Genomic DNA, 24,369 nt, shown 5'->3' on the forward strand with positions numbered 1-24,369 from the left:
AGGCCCCTCACCCTCTACGCGCTGCTCCGAGTCCAAGGCTCCCAGTCAGCCGCCTCTGGGTGCCTTAGACCACCGAGGGTCCAGAGTGGGGGACCTGGGAACCTTTCCCCCGACTCTGCTCTGCCGATGTTTTCCGCCCACACGGCGGCAGCACCACTGTGTCCCCTGGGGAGACCTGCTGTTGTTCCGGCTTCCCCTCCCACAGGGCTGACCCGTGCACCTCTTCCATTTGCCTCTCCAGCCAGGGGTGGCTGTCGCTTTCTGCTGTTGCTCACCCTCCCTGTTTGCTGCTCGGCCCCCTCCGTCACGGGTGACCAATCCCCTGCACGGAGTTCTCTCTGTTGTTCAAGTGGCCCAGTTGTTTCCCTGGCCAGATCCTCAAGGACACAGTTGTCTCCTTCCTCCGCTGACTCTTTCATTTTCTTCTATTCCATTTTGTCCACGAATATTCCTCTGTCTTCCAGAAGTAGGTGATTCTGACACCTAAGCCTCGTGGCTGTTCCCATTCCTCTGAGGAATGCAGTCCTGACAGCATCCTTATCCCCCCGGGGATCAGTGCTTCCTGAGTCGTAGAGAACTGTTTCTGTACCTTGTTGTGAATAACTAGACAACATTTTGTCTTACCTAATCAAAATGTCCCCCAAAATCCTTAGGTTCTTTTAAAATGAATACATTTTTACACTTTGGGTTACAATCTGAAGATTAACACCAGTGCAATATATGATTAGTTTAGAAGCCTCCCTTTCTAGTACATGAAAAAAAAAAAAGCAATGAGTTTTATGATCAAAGTTAAAGAATTAGCCTCTATATACCTTGAGAGGTGTCAGTCAAGCACATTTGATCTGCATTGATTCTGGTTTTGTTTTCAGGCATTCTAGAGTTTCCATTTATTGGACATCCTATGTCTATTTTTTGTTTATCTTATACATCTAAATCTTTTTCTTCTGATAGGAAATGTTTCCTGCATTCTGGGTGATTTTATGCAGCTTGTCTGAGGAAGTGCTAATTCTGTTAACTCCCCAGTGTTGATTCTCCGTTTTATTCTGTGCACTGTGGGCTTACCTCCTGGGTGGTATCACTCTGTGCTGCGACTTCTCGGCATAAACAGAGCTCTTTTTCTTGCTCTGATCCCGCCCCGGCTCTTCTTTGATCTTCTGTTTCATGGAGCTCACCTGAACGTCTCCAGCCTCAGCAGCTTCCGATGGCCCTGCAAGTTGATGTTCCTGAGCTCCTATACAATTCCGGGTATATTTCTGTGTTTTTAAGGACTTTAAAATAAACATATACGCCACCTACTGTATGATTCCAACTACATGACATTCCGGAAAAGGCAAAACTATGGAGATGGAAAAAAGACATCAGTGGTTGCCAGGACCTGGGGGGAGGGAGGGATGAACGGGCAGAGCCCTGAAGAATTTCAGGACAGTGAAAATGTATGATACTGTAATCATGTGTATCCATGTCATTCTGCACTTGTCCAAACCACAGCATGCACAATTCCAATCGTGAATCCTGGTGTAAACTATGGATCTAGGTGATTAGGATGCATCAGTACAGGTCCACCAGCTGTCATGACTGAACCGCTCTGGTGCAGGGTGCTGATAGTGGGGGAGGCCGGATGGGTGTGGGGTACGAGTATATAACTCTCTGTACCTTCTGCCCAATTGTGCTGTGAACCTAGAACTGTTCTAAAAAATAAAATCTATTAAAATATGTACATATGCATGCAACAATTCTCTATGCAATTAAAAATAATATAGGGACTTTAGAATAAACCATAAATGCCATTTACTCCTTTAAGTGACCCCTGACAGTTTCCTCCCTAGAAGGAGCCACTATTAACAATCATGCCTGTATCTCTCTAGATCCTTTTCTGTGCCTTCACATGTACTTACACGCACACTCACACGCACTTACTAATGCCCTCACACACACAGACACATGAACACATCCATACACACTCACACACACAACTGTAAAATGTAAACAGGATTCTACTTTACATGTTCCCTTCATGATTTTTCTAACAATCTTCAAAACCTTAACATGTCAGAACATACTATCAGAATTCATTCTTTTTCACTGGTTCATCATGTTACTCGTTTCCCTCTTGGGTTGTTTTCATCTTCTTGAGTAGTTGGCGATTCTTAAACATATACCCTGAATATCAATCTTTAGCCTATGGTATATGTTGCAAATATTTTCTCTTATTTTTCTAATTTTCCCTTTTTTTATGGTGTTCTTTGGTCACAGGCATGTTTTAAATGTTCATGTAGTGTTTCCTTTGACTTCTGAATTTTGTGAGCTAGAATTTACAAAATTCTATATTTACAAAATATTCTATATTTACAAAATTCTAGCTCAGAGAATCCTTCCCCATTATAAGATTATGAAGCTATTTTGATATTTTCTTCCATTCTTTCAAAATCATTTAGAATTTACTTTTGGCCATGGTATATCTAATTTTATATTTCTCCTTAATGGATGGCCAGTTACTTGAAAACCATTGAATACATGGAGGAAAGCATTTTTCCACACTGATTAAAAAATGCCACCTTAGTGATATGTCTAGATTTTCTGTTTAGTTCTATTGATTTGTCCTTTCCTCCATAAACACATTATGTAAATTTCTATAACAAGACAATATGTTTTGATATCTGGCCTATTTCCCTTAATTGTGTGTTTTAAATCAGAATTTATTAGTTTTTTTTTTTTTGCATTTATTTACTCTGCCAGATGAATGTGGGAATCAGTGTGTCAGGTTCTAAAAACATACTGTTGTAATTTTGGTCAGGATTGCATCGAATATGCAGATCAAGTTTGGGAACCTTGGGAACCTCCACAGGTGTTTGGATACAGATCTTGCACATTTCTTGTCAGCTGCATGTCTAGGCTTTCTGTTCCTCTCGTTACTGTGACTGGGATCTTTTTTCCCCTATTGCACTTTCTACTTGCTGTGACTAGTACATATATAGAAAATTGAGTCAGTGTAATTCATGTGAGTGGCGTAACAGTCTTAAAGTTTCAGTGCTTTAACACCTGTATTTCTTGCTGATGGACAAGTTGCTGTAAGCTGGGCCACTTTCATCTCAGTAATGCCTTAGCATGCCGGTTCTTTCCACTGCAACCGTGCCGAGTGGAGAATTTCTGGACTCTCTTCCTTAACATTGCTGACTGCACTCTGGCCCTCCCTTTCTGAATGCATCTCTTTCTTGTGATGGTTTTCCAAGTGGAGCTTTCACAGCGCATGCTACTAACCTCTGCTCTTCTCCAGAATGACAAAAGCCTCTGGCGTGTGACCTATGCTCCAAGAAATAAAAGGCAAAAGTTTCACTAAATATTTTGCTGCAAGAAAGTGTTGATCCAATTTTCCAGTCTTAAATATCATTTGTCTTACCTCCTGACACCCAGCTGCTAGAATAATACTATGTAGTTTAGGTTTTATTATTTTTTAAAAAATCAAATACCTTGTTTCCAGTCACTAAGTTCTTATTAGGGTAACTAACACAGGCTGATGTCACAAACAACCCACAGATCTCATCATTGAAGTGATTTCTTTCTCACATCATAGGCCTCTAATGGACTTGCTCTGATTTTGAAGGTGTTTTCTCTTTGTCTTTTCTAGGAAGTTGGGGATGAGAGAGGGGAAGGAGTAGCATCTTGTTCCGTCGGCCTCCTTGATCTAAGCCTTTGTTGTGAATTCGTTTTTACCACATTTAAAGTGTGATGCCCAGAATGGAACTCGGGGCTGCTGGCACCCCCATCCATCTTTGGAGGCCCTGGACATAATCGATGGGGCAGGCAGAAGACCTGCAGCTCCAAGCCTGCTAGTCGGTGAGCCTGGAATTGCTATGCTCTTAGGATCATGTGTTCCCACTGTGAATGCTTTTGGCGGCTTTTCCCACTGGCCACTTGGTCATATCCATACCCAGACTGAACCAGCTCTGACCCCAGGCCCTCCCCACCATGCCCATCCTACCAGGGTGCCCCCGGCTGAGGCTGCCTCTTGAGGCCACACCCTCCACCTGTATAACCCCAGCTTTGGAGCCTGCGGATCCTGCCTGAGCTGCTCTCACCCTTTGGAAACCAAGGATTGAGCATTGTTCCCTGAGTGTATTTCTGGTTATGACTTTCTCTTTTCTCCACAGAAAGGCATCTCTCTGCAGGTATTGGGTTTTCTCTGAGCTCAGCTGCTGCTCTTGGCCTTCTTTCTCCAGTTTCTGTCCTCCTCTACCAGCCTTGAGACTGCAGTGTGGAGATATGTCGCCTCTGTTTTGTCTGGGCTGCTTCTGTCTGGGATGATGGAATCCTCACTAAATGGGAAATGTTTATGGAGGAGGAGGGAGATGGGGAAGTCATTCCCTCCTGTTAACATTTCGGCTTAAGTTAGCTTATTCATATGAATGACACAAAGTCGTAATTGCTCCTAATCAAATCTGTGCACACAGTAAAGCCTCTTTTATGCAATGAGTGTTTACTTAATTGAATGTTACATATAAATGAAGGTTACTCCTTCAAGTGACAAACGTGAGGGATTTCAATGGAAAATTCTGAAAATGAGCCCCTGAAGGAGGGAAGATGGGAGATGAAAGATGCTGGAAGAGAACAGAATGGGGCCAAGACGCTCCAGGAGAGCACCGGGGGAATCCCAGTTGCTCTTGGGTTTCACTTCCAAGGGCAAAACGATGATGACAAATTGCTTTCTGAGAATCCATCCCTCTTGCAGGGACTTTCAGCCAGAGACTTGTCCATAATGGGCTCTGCATCATGTCAGAGCCCTAAACCATAATTAAACACCATTGCATTTATTAGAGTCCTCATGATGTTACCTTAGATTCTTCCCCACAAGGGCAAACCCCCTAGTGTTGATGTCAATGTTCTATGGGATTCTCCTGGTGTTAGATGATTACAGTATCACGGAAACGTGAGGCTGCATCTGCTAAGTAACGTTTCACTCCTGTGTATCACAGAGGTTCTTCTCTAAGCCCCACCCACAGGAGAGCCAGACCTCTGCATCACAGATCACATGGAGAAACTGAAACAAATGCTGACTCTCGGGAGGTGATGATAGGACTCGTTTCCTTATCATTTTTTCAGAGCCCCAGAAGTTTACAATGATAAAAACAAGAGCATTTCATGAAACAGCATGCAAAAGCCCATGCATGCTGTCTATTTTTATATAAATCAGCAGAAGATAAAGAGCTTGTCTTGATTCATGCTGTTCCTCCAGGGAATGTTTTGCAAAAAGGCAAAAAAAAAAAAAAATCAGGGAGAAGAGCGAAGCCTATAAATACAATTGGAAAGGAAAATAAAAACAACTCACTAAACGTTGAGTTTGACGAAAACATAACAAAACCAAGGAACATTTTTATGTTTTTTTCCTTTCAGTTTTACTTTTGATCATGTTTCTTCCTGAGGTTTTATGAATATATACATCAAGTGGGAGAGATAAAAACCCCAAATAACTGTAGAATGATGAGAATGTAGGAAAGAGAATGTAGGCCCTTTTATTCCATGTTATTTTTCTCAGAAAAATGACAGTTCAACCTTTCCCCTTCTGATTGTCACTGGAAAGCAGTTTTCATCTGAAATGAAATGAGTGAGGATCATGAGTTTGCCTGTATGTCTTATATGAAGCCAGCGCTGTAGTGTCCTCACTTACAAACCCGTGTTTCAAGTTTACCCCTCAATTCCTGAAAGTCTGAAATTTTAGAGGGACAAAGGAAAATTAAGAATTAAGCTAAAAAGAGTTAAATTGTGGTTAACAAACATTTCTGTAAAAGGGGCGGAAAGTAAATATTTTCTGCACCGTGGGCCACAATTCAACCCAGCTCTGCCATCGTAGCCCAAAAGCAGCAAGAGACGAGATGCAAGCAGAGGGGGCAGCTGTGTTCTAATACACTTCATGCATATGCACATGTCAATTTCACATAATTTTCACATGTCACAAAATGTTAACATTCTTTTGATTTTTTTTTTCAACCATTTAACAGTGTAAGAATGATTCTTAGCTCATGGGTTCTATAAAAACAGGTGACAGCTGGATTTGACCCATGGGCCATACTTTACTGACCTTTGTACTAAATCATGCTCTCGACCCAATTTACCTTTAAAGTTGTTCTGATGAACATATTTCAACATTCAAAAATGGTATGTGGATTCATCTGTTTTACTGAATACTTTTACTTTTGATTACTGATCTCTGTCTTGGTTAAAGATGCCAAAAACTTAGGCATGACTCATCAGGTGTTCTACCGTGACCTTGGCTCCCAGGCCAGGGAGGATGGCATAAATAGGGTCAGATGGCATGTTGTCGTGGAAACCATAATGATAGCAGCTACTAATGAAGCAGAACTGACTGTGTGTCTGGAACTGTTTGAAGGGCTTTAGAACACTAGCCCAGCTAGTCAACACGATGAACCTAGGAGAAAGGTGCTAACATTCTCATTGTGGACATAGAGAAACTGAGGCACAGGAGGCTGACTGACCTACTCAAGATGATGTACAGTCCAAGTGAGAGCATCTGCTCCCACACTCGGTTGGGCCAATCCAGGCACCACACTGACTCATTCCACTACAGAAAGGAGAGTTCTCCCCTGCCAACGACTCATCCTGAGAGAGCAGAGCAATGAAGTGAAACTGGGATGAAAATCATGAGCAATGAAATGAAATGAAACTTGTAGAGCTGCTTAATTTAAGAGTAAACAAATTCTGCCTTAAATGCCAAGGCTCCTGGCAAGTGACAGAAACCCAACATTGACTAACTGAAGCTCGCCTAAGTGGGACGACCAAGGTGAGTGTCCCAAGAGCTGAGCCCAGAGACTAAAGCACTGTCCTCAGGATGCCCCCTCCATCCCTTGCCACCTCATGTCTCTGCCATCTCCATTCTGCTTTTCAGGTCAGTCTCATTGTTCCTCACTACAATGAAACAATGTTCAGGTGGTAAAAGTTGCTTCTGACAGCCCTACCCTAGAAGCTGGTAGGTCAAATCATGAGAGTAAGCTCGCCTTCCCATCCAACTCCAGGGAAAAGTCCAGGGAGCTGCTCCAGTGACCTCCCAGTGGTGGTCAAATGCCCTCCGAGAGTGAGTGCTATGGGTGCTCTGGTGCTATTTCCTCAGCCTGTTATGAACTCAACACAATACCAGGGAGAGGTAACTGCCAGTCCCACGGACAAATGGATTAGGAAGAGAATTCCCCAAAGAAGGGACCCAGGCACGCTAGAGCCAGAGAGGATGGGCTCCTCAGTTGGTGTGACTGAACTCCAGGGAGCCCAGAGTAAGAAAGGACCCTTGGCACCCTCCAGGAGACCCCAGATAAGCCCATAACAAAACTTCATTATATTTCAGCTCATTAAACTGGCTCAAAGAGAACCAAAATGACAGCAAATGGGTTTTTCCCTAGCATTAGAATCATTGTATGAAGTGGTTCTGGCTAAGCTCTAGCGCACAGGTTTTCAGGTAGACTTTCCATAATCAGATACATGTACACACGGACACTCGCATGTGCACACGGGCATGCACACACATGCATGCACCATGCACACACACACATGCACGCACACACAGACACACATGCATGCACCATGCACGCATGCATGCACACACAGACACACACCTGCATGCACCATGCACACATGCATGCACACACACACATGCATGCACCATGCACACACATGCACGCACAGACACACACATGCACGCATCATGCACACACAAGCACGCACACACACACTCACACATGCACGCACCATGCACACACGCATGCACACATACACACGTGCACGCACCATGCACACACATGCACACACACACACAGACACTCATGTACGCACCATGTGCACACACACGCATGCACATGCAGGCACACTCACACATGCATGCACCATGCATGCACACATGCACACGCACACACAGACACATTCTTACACATGCATGCACCATGCAAACACACATGCACGCACACACAGGCACACTCTCACACGTGCACGCACCATGCACACACACATGCACGCACATACAGGCACACTCTCACACGTGCACACACCATGCACACACAGGCACACTCTCACACTTGCATGCACCATGCACACACACATGCATGCACATACAGGAACACTCTCACATGCACCACCATGCACACACACATGCATGCACACACAGGCACATTCATGCACACACAGCTTGCACAGTGTCTGAGTCATAACAAAATAGGCTATGTCTTGAAATCTCAGTGGCTTAATACAGCAACAATTGCTTCCTCACTTGCATAGACAGAAGACTCTGGGAGCTTCCATCTTGTGACTCCATACACTCAACACATAATTCCTTGATCTCCAAGGCAAGAAAATTATGCCCACTGTCTTTGAACTTCCATTTGCCAGCAAGGGCAGGTTTACACACCTCCCCCCAACCCCATAACATGACAAAATGGTAAAATGATATGCACACACCTCAGACGATGAAACACCCTTTGCCATCATTTTGTTCTCTTTGAGCCAGTTTTCAATGAGCTGAAATGCAATTAAATATTGTTGCAGGCTCATTCTGGGTCTCCTGGAGGATGCCAAGGTCCCTGGCCCTCTCAGATCTCCTGGAGGTCAGTCACACCCTCGAACTCCCCATCATAATCACCCTTATTTCTAACTAAGTATGTGATGGTTAATTTCATGTGTCAACTTAGTTGGGTCCCAGTGCCCAGATATTTGGTCAAACATGGCTGTGGATGTTTCTGTGTTTGGTGTTTTTTGAATGAGGTAAACATTTAAACAGGTGCACTCTGAGTAAATCAGATTCCCTCCCTAATGTGGGTGAGCCTCATCCCACCAGCTGAAGGCTGGAATAGGACAAAGACGGAGGTCCCCCAAGCACGAAGGAATTCTGCCAGCAGGTGGCCTTTGGACTCCAGCTGCAACTCTTTCTGGAGTACCTCCAGCCTGGCAGTCTACTCTACCAGATTTTGGACTCATCAAATCTCCAACAAATTCCTTACAATCTCTCTGTCTCCCTATATATAAATATATGTGCACGTGTGTGTGTGTGTGTGTGTGTGTGTGTCTGTGTGTAAGAAGAGAGACAAGAAAGAAAGCCTTTATTGTCAGAGGAGAAGTAAGAGCAGGTGGACTCAAAGATCTCAAGCTGTGGTTAGTAACTTCCTAGTATTCAAGACCATGAAAATGAACAACATTTCTTTTCTTCTCGTACAGCCATCTCACCTTCACAAGTTGAATGCCCTCATGGACCACTGAGTGAATCCAGCGTATCACCCTAGTCTACACTTTGGGTACCATTTTTATCTTTGTTTTTTGATGGGTTGTTTGTTTGTTGGTTGGTTGGTTGGTTTTTGCCATTTCACACTAAACAACACTGTCTATTGTTTTACCCTGGGCTTTAAAAAAAGGCTTGACACAAAATGCCTTTCCTTTCCCTTTAGTCTCTCCCTACACCACATTTCTCTGTTTGCCTTCCCATAAAAATGACTTTTATTGATTTAGTATATGCACCTGCAAGGCACTAAGAAAGGAAAGGTCCACTCTATTGTAAGAATTGGCACAAAAATCAACCCCAAACTAACCTTGGTCTTATCTAGGAAGTGAAATAGCCAAGAATCCTCTAAAATTAAGGCGATTCCAGACTATAAGGGTGAACGCAGAAGCAAATGCTGTCAAGAAATGCAGCGTTTCTTACCTCAGTCATTAATGACCCACTAGCATAGCATGGTGGACAGGTATTGATTGCAACCTTCCACACAGTTTTGATTCCTATCCTGTCTCACCATGACTCAGTTTTCCTATCTATGACATAAAAATAAAAAGAGAGAAATTATCTCAAAGTTTCTGCAAAGATTAGTGTGAGCAATGACAAACACTCAATCTCTGGAAAATGCCTTAAATCACTAATAGAAAATTCATGAACAAACGTTACCTCTAAGAGAATGAGTATCACAGCTAAAGAGAACCTTCCTTTTCCTTGCAGCCATTCTCTTCAAAATAAGGAGCCTGATGTTTCACAAAACCATCTGTTGCCCTCTTCTGTTATTACAGCTGAATGCTTCAGAAATCATTCTGCACCACTAAAAATAAAATCCACGTAGAACCTGAAAGAACCAATGCCAATTACTGGAGCCAAATTCAGGTTGTATTTTTAAAAGTGTCTATGAAACCATCTATAAATAGAAAGCCTTTCCTGTTATTTTTAATTACTTCATTTTAATGGAAACAGACTCCAGTTGGTGAGGATGTGGTTAGGATGCCATGGCACAGGGCCTGCCCTTCCGGACAGAAGGCTGACTCCAGCCAAAGGAAGCCAGGGGGTGGCTCAAAGCAGTCAAAGCATCTTCAGTGCTTACTCTTGGTTGTTGATCCCAAAGCCTCCTTAGAAACCTCCTAGCGTGTCTCAAACCCTTTCAAACATGTGTATATTTCTATAAGTCCAATGACAAGTTGATTTTCTTATATTTAAGGTAAATGTGGACCACAGAGAGTTTCTCTGTGAGCTGGAAGAGGAAACATTCCTGAGTCAAATGCTAGGGCAGTGCCACAGCTCCAGGGTCTGCTGGCAGAGGGGTGTGTCTCAGACAGGCATCTCTGAGAGGCAGTGTGCCAGTCCAGTCCCCCAGAGCCAGGGAGCCTCCCACCCCATGCCGCCTCACAGGGCAGGAAGAGGGCACATTACTGCCTCACACTGGCTTAGGGAGGACAGGGAACAAGGAGACAGCCCAGGGGACTCTGGCAGTGGCCCTCATCCCCAGACCTGGATGGGAACCTAAGAGTCTGGGCAAGTCCTAGCTGGTGGCTCTGGTCTGCCTGTGTGCCACCATGTGCCACCATGAGCCACAGGAAATAAGCAGCACATCAGATGGGAAGAGTGAGGCCCTAAGAAATCTATTCTGCTTCTTGTGGCAAAAGCTGAGCCTTCATGCCCCCGGCCTCAAACAGCTCCATCTCCTGCTGCAAAAGTGTGCCCCGGAGCTACAGCCTGACTGGCCAGGCAGATATTAGAGTTCCTTGTCTCAGATTTCCTGTCTGGGTCACTAACCTGAAGGCCATGACAGACCAGGTAATACTCATCCACCAGTATGAGGGTGTCACTCTGCCAGTTACCTACTGTATGGCCTTGGGTGTGTTCCTTAGCCCCTTTGTGCCCCTCGCTTTCCTCAGCCATAAGAGAGGGGAGATAACTGCAGCTGTTCATAGGGCAGTTGTGAGGATTGAGTAAGTTAAGTCAGTAAGGACCCTGGGGTCATTCCTGGCACATAGTAAGCCCTATAGAAGTTTTTGGCAATTAGATCATTACATGTACAAGTTAACGTAATTGTGAATATCATGGATCCATAGGATGGACTGATTGTGTGTTAACAGGAATTTCTTCTAATCAATTATGTTCTGTCTCTGACAACAGCGGTGAAATGTGAAATGTGAAAGTGTAGGTGTGTGTACTCCTGCTCATGAAGGACAAGTTAGATAACTTGCAAGTATTATGATGCACCTTATTTGTTCCCAGGATGATGATTTTGTCATGTTCCTGTCTCTGTCTCATGGGAAGCAGGTAACGGGGCCATCCATTTGCATGTGTAAAATAAAACAAACCTATAAAAGCAAAACGTGGCGACAAACCACAAGTGCTTCTATCCTCATGGTTTCCACGGTGCCTGTCAATGAGCACTCATCATGGCCCTCTCCTGGCCTTCCCACTGAGTGAGAGCTCATTTGACAGGCAAGACAGCATCTCCAGGCCCTCTCCTGCCACTTGAAGGAGGCCTCTCAATCTCTCTGGCCACTAGCACCCCAACTCACAATGAGGATTTTAACAAGATGAACCCTATATCCCCACCTTGACTTCTAAATTGTATATTGCAGAGAGAGTGCTGGAAAAAAAAAAGAAATGAAATGAAGTGAAAAAAATGAAAGAAAAGAGAAAGGATTTGCTAACCCATGACATTTATGTCTAGAGGACTCACAAATGAAAATTTGAGAAAAAGACATGGTTATTTCTCAGCAAGTAGAGTTTCTTAAACATCATGTGCCAACCCCTCCTTCGAGGGTTGCTTGTATCTTCTTGGGTGTCGGTGATTCTGGTGCCCACGTTTCATGATGCTGACACAATTCATTTTATTATCAGTAGGAGAAGAGCAGTTACTCAGGACAGCCATGCTAGCCTGGACTAATTTGGATAAATTGTCCCACGCCAGAAATAAACAGGCCATCAACCCCAAATGTCAAGCATGACACAAGGAAGTTGGAAGGACCCACCAAACTCAAGGATTCTCCTAGCACACAAACTGAGGAAGAACAATACATAGGACTCCAAGACTGGAGATGTTCCTTCAGTATGCTATCTTTTGTATTCATGCTGGGGTGCAGACGGGGAATTAGAAGCAAAGCACTGTAGAGTCCCTTTTGGAATATTGACCAATAATTTTATAAAATGTACAATTTTATTCAAAATTAATCATAGGTCATTGGAGTGGATCTCATATGAGTGGCTTGGTGCTGTCCTCCCAGTAATGAATGAGTTCTCATTCTTAATTCATTCAAGAGCTGGTTGTTTAAAAGAGCCTGGTATTTCTCTTGCTCCCTCTCTTGCCATGTGACACGCCAGCTTCCCCTTTGCCTTCTGCCCTGAGTAAAAGCTTCCACACCAGAAGACGAACAGATGTTTGTGCCCGGCTTGTACAGCCTGCAGAACCGTGAGCCAAATAAACCTCTTTTCTCTATAAATTACCCAGTCTCAGGTATTCCTTTATAGCAATGCAAAATGGACTAACGCACCTGTCTACACCACTTAGTTCAATTTATTAATTATATTTTGGGGGTTGTTTAATCAGCATATGTTGGCCTTTGCATGTCAGCAATTGAATGAAGGTGATATTTAGTTGGTTTTGAGTCTTTGCAAGCGAAGACCTGGCATAAGTCACTTAAGACATCTTATTTCTATTTAGATCAGATTTCCCAAATCTGTGACACATATATAGATTATATATAATATATGATATATAATATTATATAATATATATTTTATTTATATATTATATATAATATATAATATATATTTTATTTATATATATTATATATAATATTTTATAAATAAATATTATATATAATATATATAAATTGAAAATAGCCTTCTGAGGCTTGCTGTATTCTGCCTGGACTATTTCAAGATTCCTCAAGAGGGAGATGAAGGTGGTTCCATGTCCCTGTGTGATGCGGATGCTGCAGGATGTGGCCCCTCATTCTGGGAGCTCCTGGAACTCTCTGAACTTCTTACCCAGGCTGTTCTGGTGCTAGAAAATTTTTCTTTAAAGATAAGTTGAAAAATCTTGTTTGCAAACTGTCAAAGCCCCAGAGGCACCACTTTCTCTGAACATCCTCATCTGTAGCTAACATTTCTCTTGTGACAATACACCAGGTCTAAAATTCAATTTCCTGGTATTCTGACGTAAGAGCATGATGACGCAGGTACCATTAGACAAGGCCTAGGAAGTTTTGGCCAGGAGCAATTCTTTGTGTGATGGGTTGAAAAGAAAAGCCTCATGTAGATGATATTTAAGTATATGGAGCTATTGAGTTATCCTTTCCAAAAAGTGATACTGTTGAGAATACTTTTATTGAAGAATTAAAAAATTCCATGGCTATGACTTCCTTAAATTTTTAATCACTTATATAGCTATATTTGTGTTGTAATTTGAAGGAGATTGGGCCATGACCACTGGACAATGTCCAGGATACCCCTTGGCCATCTTGACCTGACCCTGGTCTTTAAATACTGAAAACCTTGGCATACTGCCATGCTTCCCAGCTCTTTGCCCTACTTGCCTACCAAGGGAAGCCTCTAGATACAGAAAACATGGACTGAAGAAGGACTCAGCGTTTCTCAGAGGCAGCAGTGCAGAGAAGAAAGGATGTGAAGCAAAAGGCAAATGACTCTAGAGAGGGGGTGAGTGTGTGTGTGGTGTTTGGACAAAGTTGAGGACAACGTGGCCCATGGCAATGAGTGGCTGGTGTGTCTCTGCCTTGTGCTGGGTGGGTCTGGCTGTGTGGCACTTGGTGTGGCAGGTGACTGAGGACTTTTGCACCCACCTTCGCAGCGTGGCCTGAGGAGTGTGCCTGGAGCTGGCTGGAGTCAGGGAGGCTGGGGATTGCTTATGGAAACCCAGGGGGCCTGGGCCCTAAGGCAGCAGTGCTCACTCACCTCCATCTCCCCCAGATTGGCAGCTGCTATGGGGGCTGGGGTGCTGCAAACACAGCTGGACCCAAAGTCTGAGTGTAAAAGACAACAGTGCACTTTCATGGCTGTGGCCAGACAGAGCAACTGCTCCTGGTAAACCATCAGAGAAATATAGATATATTCTGACAAAAATAAGAATCATCCTCTTCTCTCAGTTCCACACCCAGTGCTAACCAATATTAATGGTTATATTTATATTTGTATAACTGTTATTTTTTGGGGGTGACCTTTTCTTTTCAGTGTGGACAGTAATTATATGCTGCATTTCTACAGTTCTGGGAAGTGTGCCATGTTCGCTTTATCTGATTTACCTGCCTTAGGTCACCATCTCTGGAATGAGCCACGGAGGGTGAAGATGGGATGGGATGGATAAATGGGCTGGAGATCAGCAGGCCAAGAAGGGTCTGTAGCCCATCAAAATTGAGAGGGAAATCTGGCTCCCGCAGTGTCCTCCAGCGCCCTCTGCTGACAAAACTCAGCACCGCACCAGCGGGTGAAGGAGGAACGTTTGCAGGACCCAGAGCCAGGATCACAAACAGGCATTGAAGGGTGAATTTGTGGCTATAAGACAATATTTTAGTCAACACCACAGAGTGTAAGAGTGAGCATTCAGTAAGCAGTAAAGAAGACCAAAATCCTTGCCCCCCAAGGGCTTGCATTCTTGCCAGAGGAGACATGTCAACTCAACAAATAAGTGCAATGCACAGATGTGGGTGGTGATGACTGCTAAGGTGGGAAATGAAACAAAGGAAGTGGTTGGGAGTGCATGGAAAGTTTCAGTGTAGACTCCGTGGGGGCAGGGAAAGACTCCTGGACATATAGGCCTGACAGCAGTGAGGGAGAAGCACGTACCAAGGCCCTGTGGTGGGAGCATTCCTGGTGTTACAAAGGTAAGCAAGAGAGCCAGAGTGACTGGGGTGTAGTGAACATGGGAGAGATGAGGTCACAGAGGTAGCAGGCCTGAAGAGTGTGTGCATGTGTGTGTGAATATGTGCATGTATGTGCATGTATGACAATGTGTGTATGCATGTGTGCACATTTACGTAAATGCATGTAAATGTGTGTACAAGCAGTTGTGCAGGTGTGTGAGTGGAGGCATGTGTATGCATATGTGCACCTGTGTGAGTGTATGCGTGTGTGTGCACATGTGAACATGGCTACGTGCACATGGATGTGAACACAAGCATTTATGCATTATAAATATAGTTTATAATGCATAGCTTATACTGCAGCATGGCAAGCATAGTTGTATTATAAACAATGCAACTATGAGAACATGTGCACGTGTGTGCAGTGTGTCCATAGGCATATTTCTGCATGCATATGTATATGTTTGCGTTGTCAACAGGACTTAAGAATCCTTGTAGACCATTAGAGGAACACTAACTTTTACTGTGAGGAAAACAGAAGCCACTGGAAGTTTTTCAGCAGAGGAGTGGTAGAATTATCTCCATATTTTAACAGGATCTCTGCAGCTGCTGTGGTGGGAGACTTGGCTGTCATGGGTCAGGGCTGGGAGCAGGGGCTCCTGGAAGGAGGTGGGGGACAATAGTGGCTTGGCCCATGGTGGAAGCAGTGGAGATGCTGAGAAGCAGGCAGGCTCTGGATGTGTATTAAAGATAACACCAGCTGGATTTGCTGAGGATATGAATGGAGATAGTGATTGGTCTGAAAGTTTCTAACTGCGGGATTGTTTGAGCTGGTTATTTTTTAAAGGGGCAGGAAAGCGGCTCTTCCAGCAACTGCAGGATAAGATAAGAAAGAGGTAGTGAAATCACTTTTAGGAATCGCTCAGCTCATCTGTTATCTTCTGGAAGAGGGCAAGGCACCACCAGGGCCACTAACTGGTGAGGGAGGGCTCCCCCGGGCGATTGTGCTCATCCCGGCTGCTCCCTCTTGAACTTGGCCATGTGACCTAAGGATTCCAGATGAACATTGACATTTGATTTCATGTGCACCATCTTACAGTAGAATTTCTTACTGGCAGGCTAAACTGATCCCTGCACAAGAGAGATTATGTGTCTCCCTATCAACTTGAAAAATAAACTCAGGAAATTCAAGAACTCTGAATTGTCAGAAAATAGCTCTGCCCTTCCACCAGACCCACGAGGAACATGCTGAAGACCACATGAGTGATGTCGACAGAAGCATTTGTCCTTTTCCTGACTCTTTCAAATCATTTGGTGAGAGGTGTTTCGTTTCTGTTCAGACGCAAGCTTCTTCCCGGAGTGGAGGCTTAGAGGCAGGCTCTGTGGCATGCACTCCCCGACTCTACATGGTGCATTTTGACTGAAGTGAATACCCTGAGAAGGTTTTGCAGAAAAATCAAGGAGATAAATGAAAGGTTTCCCTCAGTGGTGAATGTGCAGAGGCTCCCTAAAATGCAGGTATGTGAGCCATAAACCTCTTTGCCCTATGTAAATACCCAGCCATCTTCTTTCCTGTTCTGTTGTGAGCCCTCTGAATCAATATGTGAGCATTCAGAACTATGATGTCGCTTGAAGGCCAGGGTTTCAGAAGTTGTCCAGCGTAGGAGAAAATGCAATTCACTTTCAGGATGCTGTGTGAGGGCAGGAAGGATCCTCAAGCTCTTCGCCCTTTGCTCAGCGCTGTTAAACACTCTCAGAATTAGGACTTGCTCTTAACCACATGTAAATGTAAATTACTTTCCAGACCAAATACAAACCACCCTTTATCATCTTCAGTTTTGAATTCTTTGTGCCTCTCTACACAAGCATTAGCAGAGATAATTGAAAATTTGCAGCATTTAAATCTATGTTTTAAAAAATGATTCAGGAAGCTTTTCGACATCTTTAGACTATTACAGTGTCATTTATTCCTGCCAAGAGGTCTACCAAGCAGTTTTGACCCAAATGTAGTATCTCTAAGTATCTGCTTCCTCTGGCCTCCCAGTAGACACAAGTGACTTCACTCTTGTCGCGGATGTGTCTGGCAGTGGCTTGGGTCCCCTTGATGATAATAAGAAGCGTCCCTTGTGTGAGGGCCCCTGGGACTTTTCTGGAGAAGCAGCAGCTTTAGCTCAGCCCCACAAATTATGGCTGTCACCAGCGGCTGTGCCCAGAGGATGAAATACATTTAGGCAATGGAGGAGCCCCTCCTGAATGTGCTGAATCTCTCTGTCTTCGGCACAGTTCACCTTGAGAGAGAGTCAGGCTGGCTTTGGGAATGGATTTAGAGAGGAGTACTTTGACTCTCCTGCCTAATGAAGATTTGCTGTGTTAAGGCTCTAAATCATTGAAGCCAAGAACTACTAATAATTAGAGCTGATAAAAGCATTAAGGAAACCTTTAATCCCCTGGTCCTGGGAGCTGGAGGTTTGCACAGCCTGTCATTTATGCACTGAAACGACTAGTCTTAATGGGGTTAGCATGTCTGAGATTGGTAATTATTACAGGCACTGCTTGCTGAGCCTCCATGAGGCATGCTTCAGCCCTGAAAGATCTTCTGGGGTGTTGTTTTATGACTTTCCCCGACTGCTTTTGGCTGGCTGAAAATGAATCCAAACACTGCTGCAAAATTGCTCTTCAGGAAGACTTTTCTGAAAATTTGCCCACAAGTGTTTATTTCTTTTAGGCATAAGGAATCAGAATTAGTGGTAAATATCGGAGTATAATTCTTAGATACTGTCACTGTTAAATCTATTCTTTATTTGTAGATTTTTATTTTCCTCCCTTTCAAATAATTGCATTGATTATATTACACAATAATATCAGCCTTTGAAAAATATTTTTCATTACCAAAAATTTGCCTGACCTGGATTGTGAAGTCATTTTTTTTCATAAAGAAGGTTTGATGAACATGTTCATTAATCTACACTATGTTTATTGGGCAAATTTATAGTTAAACCTGTATCTTCAATGCTCGAATAATGTCTTAGTCCTTTTGTGTTGCAATAAAGTGATACATGAGGCTGGGATATATATATATATAGATATATATCTATCTATCTCCATATATATATATAGATATATATATGGAGATATATTTGGATATATATATATATATATGGTTTATTTGGCTCATGATTCTGCTGACTGGAAAACTGAGTCTCTGGTGAGGCCTCAGGCTGCTACCACTCATGGTTAAAGGCAAAGGGGAGATGGCGTATACAGAGATCACATGGCAAGAAAGGGAGCAAGAGGGAGAGAGTGGAGGTGCCAGGCTCTTTTTAACAACCACTCTTTTGGGAACTAATAGAGCAAGAAGTCACTCATTACTGCGAGAACAGCACCAACACATTCAGGAGAAATCTGCCCCCGATCCAAATACCTCTCATTAGGCTCTGCCTCCAACACTGGGAATCAAATTTCAACATGAGGGTTAGAGGGGGCAACATTCAAACCACAGCTACTAAGCACTTGTTTGGCTTGCATTTGTTGTGTATTCTTAAAGACAGGAAAAATAAAAGGGCTGGTCACTGGCAGAGGAATTCAGAACATGTTAATATCTACAGGACTTGGGCAAAAGCAGTGAGTAGAAGTGGCAATACACTTTAATAAATGTGCCTTCGAGAATCGCTTGAACCCAGGAAGTGGAGGTTGCAGGGAGCCGAGATCACGCCACTGCACTCCAGTCTGGGCAACAGTGTGAGACTCCATCTCAAAAAAATAAAAAAATAGTGCCTGGAAGGATGTTCTTCATTAACATTGGCTGTGACTTTAGCATGGGGATCATTGACATGGTGACATTTTTCTATAGTTCCAAGGATGCCACCTTCAAGCGTGATTGGACTAAGATTATGAGAACCCCCTCACTGGGGTCTCTGACCTCCACCCCTTTCCATTACTCTAGCATCTCACAACTGAGGGCTTCAGTCAGAGAAACTCTTCCCCACTCTTTTTCCATGTTATTTACAGCCTTGTTCACCAAGATTGCCCTATAAAAATTGGTCCTGCTGGTCGTTGGTGTTTTTACATGGAAATTCAAGTGTTATAATTCTAATGGAATTATTGTAAACGATGGTTCTTATGTTTTATTTAGGCACTTCACCAAATGACCTCAGCAGAGTGGGAAAGTCTCACGTAGGTGACTTGCTATGCCCAGTAGCCTGCGTGTCTCTCCACAGATACTGACTTCCCTGTAACTTTACTATTTTGGGGTTACTTATGTTTAACAACCAAAACATCCTGTCAAGTTTTAGTAAATCGGGTGAGATATCTAAATTATGTTAATAATTTTTTAACACTTTTCATTTTGAAATAGTTTAAGTCTTAAAAGAAGTTGCAAAAATGATACAGAAAGTTCCTACATGTCATTTCCCCATCTTTTCCCTATAATCTTCCTTAGCCATAGTACACTGTCAAAACTAGGCCATTGATATTGGCACAACCCTATTAGCTCAGTTGAAGACCTAAATCAGATTTCACCATAAGTCTGTGTTTTTAAATGGTATTATTGGCTGAGTTTGTCTCTTACTTGCAGCCTAAAGCATTCATAACTGAAATATCATGCAACTGTAGGTATATAAGCACACAGACACATCATTTTTTATTTTCTGATTGGATTTTCAGTAGACAGACACTTGGGAATGTTAACTTTAAAAGTATTTAATAGACATTTCTCTCCTACCACTAGAGCTCACAAATGACTTGTTTTGAGAAAGTATATGTTATTATCACAGAACAGGATGATTTCTTTTAGAAATCTCTCCCATGGGTTAGGGGTTCATCTTCACTCCCATCTTCTTTTTTCAATGTAAGTGATTGTCTCTGAATAATCATGTTTGAGTTTCTGTCCTTGCCAAGCCTGAGGCTCACTAGATTCTGTACCCCTTCAGGGTATGAATCTCACTAAATTCATCTTTCTAGTCTCTGTATGTAGTAGGGTCTGTTATACTCTAGGTGCTCAATAAGCTCAATACATGTGTGTTAAGTGAGCAAGTGAATAAATGACCAGATGCAGATGGAATGTGGCATGTTGTTCAGCCTGTGATGTGGATAAATGGGTGGGTTAAAAAAATGGTAATTTTGTTGATGCCACTCTACTAAAACTCACTTTTAGATTTCAGAATGTCTGTTCTGGTAAGGCATTCATTATTTTAGTGAATACGGCTGCACTGGGACAGAGTTGGCCAGTCGTACCCCTGGCTGGTGTTGGACATGGGCCATCTATTCAGTTGTCCCTGGGGTGATTCTTAGAGGCAATGGGGGAGGTTTCTTACCTTGACCCATTTCTTCCACCTAACTGTGCCTCAAGACACACCAGAGAGGGTCATGCCCTAAGTCAGACACCTATGAGAGGATGAGACACCTATGAGAGTATGTTTCCAGACTGACTCACTTTTAGGTCCTTTCAAGCAGCAGCAGCAGGAGACTGAAAGCTGCTCTTCTCAAGACCTGGCCTTCACATGTACCTTGTGGGGATGGGGCGGTCTCTGTGTATAGGAAGGTCTAGAGCTATTGTGAACCTGGACCAGGGCTAGCAGGGCTAGCTGTGGGCAGCTCAAGGGCTGCAAGGGGGCTTGAGAACAGTCAGTGTGGAGAGAGGCTAAAAAGGAAGAGGACGGACGGGGTGATGGTCTGTCTGGCCAGGCCAGCTGGAATGGCACTGAGCAACTTGCTCCACATGTTGGTCCTTTCCTTGCAGCATTCCACTTTTGGCATCAAGCACTGTACCAGTTAGGGATTAGCTTCAGCTGCTGAAAACAGAAAACTCGAAATGACAGTGCTTGAACAAGATTTCTATTTCATGTGTAAGTCCTGGCCAGCACTGGCTCTTCATCACAGCAGGGATCTTGTCGAGCTGCCAAGCACGGCCCTCATCTTCCCAGCCCCGGTGTACCCTCGGCCATCCTGTCCATGCTGCTAGCGGACGGATGGAGCAAGAGGTTGAGGAAGGCACAAATGTGCATGCCAACTTTCCTACAGAATGCCCTGAGAAGCCGTCTCTGCACACTTCTCTGACATCCCATGGGCTGGAACTTAGTCACATAGAGCACACCTATCTACAAGGGGAACTGGAAAATGCAGTTTCTATTCTGGAGAATAGAAACTCCTATCAAAATGCCCAGTTCCATTCTGATAGGAAAAAGAAGAAAACAGATATTAAGGAGATATTCGTAGTCTCTGCCTAAAGGTTAACCCTGAAGTATCATTTACATACCTGAGAGCACATTGTTCAAAATTGTCAGTCATTGTTATCTAAATTCAGTGGCAAGAACTGTCCATGGTCCAAGATCTTGTCCTTCTTGTAAGCTAAAATGTTAGCTTGTCAGAGTTTCATGGATGCTAGTGGAAGACATGAAACTCCTGGGTCAGAAGAAAAGGACAGTTCATTGCTCATGGCAATGGCAATGGTCAGAGTATCAGCATCTGATTCCCACAAGATGATCCTAAGGAGGGCACAGTGACACTTTCACATGCAGCAGGTTTTGTTACAGGAGACCAACCCTGAACACAGGGAAGCCAAATCTTCTAACAATGCCTGTCTTTGCTGAGGAGGGAGACATGACCTCAGTTCTCCAAGGCTGATCACTGTCCTTGACAATGACCCAGAGGAATGGCAGACACTGCCTTGCAGACACACCAGGGCCCATGGAAAGCTGTTCCACATTCCGTAATTACGTTCCTCCAATCACATTGTTCCCTAGTGTCTCTGTTTTCATTATAGATCTGTCAGATCACATATCATGCGACATCCAGGTAGCTAAAATACTGTAAGTGAGGGACTTAGCAAGGGAGTCAGGCTGAAAAAGGTTTTCCTTTCCCCCTAGTCTCTTAATTCCTTTTGGTTCTTGGTTTTTCCCTCATTACAAGGCAGATGCTGAATGGCCAGGACTCAAAGCTTCTTCCTCATAGGAGAGAGGCCTCAGTCAGCTGAAAGGAGGAAGCCAGACACTTATCTGATGCTGTAAAATACATGCTTATGGTGCTCTTTGGACAACTGTGGGTTTGCCTTTGGGAAACAACAGTTTCTATTATTTGCAACTCTGTCAATGTCACCTCTTTATATTTTATTAAACTCATTGAAAAATTCATATGTCAGATCATTCGGTTAAAACATTTAAAGGCCTAGTATCTCATCATATGGGGGTTTGGCACCAATTAATCTTACAGGAAATTTGGTTTCCCATCCGTCCTTGTCCTCCCACTTCAGGGTCCACCTGCTGGTGGCCTGGGTTTCTCCAGAGGCAGGTCCTCCCAGCATCCACATTCCCTCTTCTGGAACACTGGGGACAAAGGCTGGAGAGCCCACCAATAGCACTACCATGACCTCCTGGCATAAGGAGACAGATGACTGCGGCTTATGCCTTCAACACTGGCTCTTTCTGAGTACGTTTTACACTTGCTGGTGGGGGCCACACTAGGAAAAAATTTCCCTTTGCATTTTCCTTCCATTCACAAAGAGTCAGCCCCCAGCATCAAGACGGAGCAGCTGTCCAAAATTAGATGCTACTGCTCTCATTTGTTGGTTAAAAATAGCTGTTCTGCACCTTTTATGCCATCACCAGGGGCTGTTTTCAGCCAATGTTTATGACAGAGAAAGACATTTGCTAATTCGCTGCTTATTCAAGGAGAATAGAACTTATTTGTTGTTCCCCTGCAAATAGACAACTGGGGATGTTAGCAGCAATTTACTTGCATTTTCTTAGGATTTGCAGGGTGGTTTTGTGATAGGAAAATGGCTAGTGAGGAGAGAGGAAAGAAGGGCACACATTGAACCTAATATTTTAAAAGAAGCAATGAAACTGGGCCCAGCCAGCGAGGCAGCCTACGGTGCTGGACACATCTGATAAAAGGGGAATCACCAAACTTGCCATTTCAATGGAGTGAAGCCCAAAGGAGCCGGAGCGCCTCGAAGGTTTGCAGTCCTCCCTCCCCTCTAACCCCCGAGGCCTTGGGTTCGTCCGGAGCGCCTGGAAGGTTTGCAGTCCCCCCTCCCCGCCACCCCCGAGGCCTTGGGTTCGTCCGGAGCTTCTAGAAGGTTTGCAGTCCCCCCTCCCCCCAAGCCCCGAGGCCTTGGGTTCGTCCGGAGCGTCTAGAAGGGTCCCCCCTCCCCTCCACCCCCGAAGCCTTGGGTCCCCAGAGCGCGCCCAGGGCTTTTTTTTTTTTTTTTTGAGACGGAGTCTCGCTCTGTCGCCCAGGCTTGAGTGCCCTGGCGCAACCCCGGCTCACTGCAAGCTCCGCCTTCCGTGTTCACTCCATTCTCTGTGGCCCAGGCTGGAGTGCAGTGGCGCAATCTCGGCTCACTGCAAGCTCCGCCTTCCGTGTTCACTCCATTCTCTGTCGCCCAGGCTGGAGTGCAGTGGCGCAACCTCGGCTCACTGCAAGCTCCGCCTTCCGGGTTCCCGCCATTCTCCTGCCTCAGCCTCCAGAGTAGCTGGGACTACAGGCGCCCGCCACCACGCCCGGCTAATTTTTTGTATTTTTAGTAGAGACGGGGTTTCACCGTGGTCTCGATCTCGTGACCTCTTGATCCGCCCGCCTCGGCCTCCCAAAGTGCTGGGATTACAGGCGTGAGCCACCGCGCCCGGCGCAGGGCGTGCCCAGGGCTTCTGATGCCAGAGCCCAGGAATGAGCTTTTGCCTTTTGGATTCAGGGCTTCCCTGTACTCTCACAGAGTCAGAATGGCCGTATGTTTACATGTGAAGCCCTGGGGCTCCCTGGCCCCTTCCTGGGCCGTTCTCCACCTTTTCTCTTCTCACCCTTTGCTGTTCCCTGAGTCATGCAATCCATAGTGAAGAGGCCAGAGGCCCGGATGGGGAAGTGCCGGGGGCAGCCGTGGCAGCTTCATCACAGAGGTGCGATCTTTTTATCTCTGGTAATAGTGGCATGAAACTATTTTAGGGGCAGTGCCAGTCTCCGGGAATTTTAAAGTTCAATTTTCTGGGAACAGAGTCTGAAGGCATTTATCTCCAAGGCAGCGTTAACACTGAACTTTAAAAGGCCAAGCATGGAGGAAAGCCTTTTTAACACATGGCTTTTGGATCTCAGGGTGGGCCGCAAAGGCAGCCAGCCAGAGACCAAGATTGCACCTGTCCCAAGACTGGGTATAAAAACAGAACGGTGGACACAACTCCAAGAGAAGGTTTTGGCCAAATGTCTTGAATCATAGAAGATTTGACTGTAAACCTACTCCACAGTTTCTATTCAGTGGATGGTTTTGCTGAACTGAGCTAAGAT

General features: G+C 44.4%; 3 long non-coding RNA genes and 1 other non-coding gene across 5 annotated transcripts in view, besides 3 other annotated features; 3 read left to right on the forward strand and 1 right to left on the reverse strand.

Moving 5' to 3' along the window:
• The window catches only part of LINC02236 (long intergenic non-protein coding RNA 2236), a 30,849-nt gene extending 27,138 nt beyond the window's left edge, over nucleotides 1-3,711 (forward strand). The window contains exon 2 of the long non-coding RNA NR_146281.1: nucleotides 3,626-3,711. This is a non-coding gene — a long non-coding RNA (long intergenic non-protein coding RNA 2236). The remainder of the gene's footprint in view (nucleotides 1-3,625) is intronic.
• Nucleotides 115-699: an enhancer, noted in NCBI's record as "H3K4me1 hESC enhancer chr5:6823245-6823829 (GRCh37/hg19 assembly coordinates)". NCBI's record gives its function as "activates a minimal SCP1, AML or CMV promoter by ChIP-STARR-seq in naive H9 embryonic stem cells {active_cell/tissue: H9 hESC(naive)}" and the evidence as "EXISTENCE:reporter gene assay evidence [ECO:0000049][PMID:30033119]".
• A 1,124-nt stretch (nucleotides 3,712-4,835) lies between the features above and the next one.
• Nucleotides 4,836-4,904, reverse strand: MIR4278 (microRNA 4278). Its single transcript, NR_036242.1, has one exon. It is a non-coding gene; the product is annotated as a microRNA 4278 (primary transcript).
• Nucleotides 4,964-5,113: an enhancer, noted in NCBI's record as "active region_22343". NCBI's record gives its function as "activates an Ori minimal core promoter by ATAC-STARR-seq in GM12878 lymphoblastoid cells {active_cell/tissue: GM12878}" and the evidence as "EXISTENCE:reporter gene assay evidence [ECO:0000049][PMID:35858748]".
• Nucleotides 6,746-12,717, forward strand: LOC105374641 (uncharacterized). The gene is made up of 3 exons (XR_925740.3): nucleotides 6,746-6,793; nucleotides 9,205-9,281; nucleotides 9,974-12,717. It is a non-coding gene; the product is annotated as an uncharacterized LOC105374641 (long non-coding RNA).
• Nucleotides 7,311-7,812: an enhancer, noted in NCBI's record as "H3K4me1 hESC enhancer chr5:6830441-6830942 (GRCh37/hg19 assembly coordinates)". NCBI's record gives its function as "activates a minimal SCP1, AML or CMV promoter by ChIP-STARR-seq in naive H9 embryonic stem cells {active_cell/tissue: H9 hESC(naive)}" and the evidence as "EXISTENCE:reporter gene assay evidence [ECO:0000049][PMID:30033119]".
• A 10,986-nt stretch (nucleotides 12,718-23,703) lies between the features above and the next one.
• The window catches only part of LOC105374642 (uncharacterized), a 41,400-nt gene continuing 40,734 nt past the window's right edge, over nucleotides 23,704-24,369 (forward strand). For both annotated transcript variants that reach the window (NR_188250.1, NR_188251.1), the window contains exon 1: nucleotides 23,704-23,987. This is a non-coding gene — a long non-coding RNA (uncharacterized LOC105374642). The remainder of the gene's footprint in view (nucleotides 23,988-24,369) is intronic.

The sequence above is a fragment of the Homo sapiens genome, chromosome 5 (genome assembly GCF_000001405.40).
Source record: "Homo sapiens chromosome 5, GRCh38.p14 Primary Assembly".
In the NCBI taxonomy this organism is placed as follows: Eukaryota; Metazoa; Chordata; class Mammalia; order Primates; family Hominidae; genus Homo; species Homo sapiens.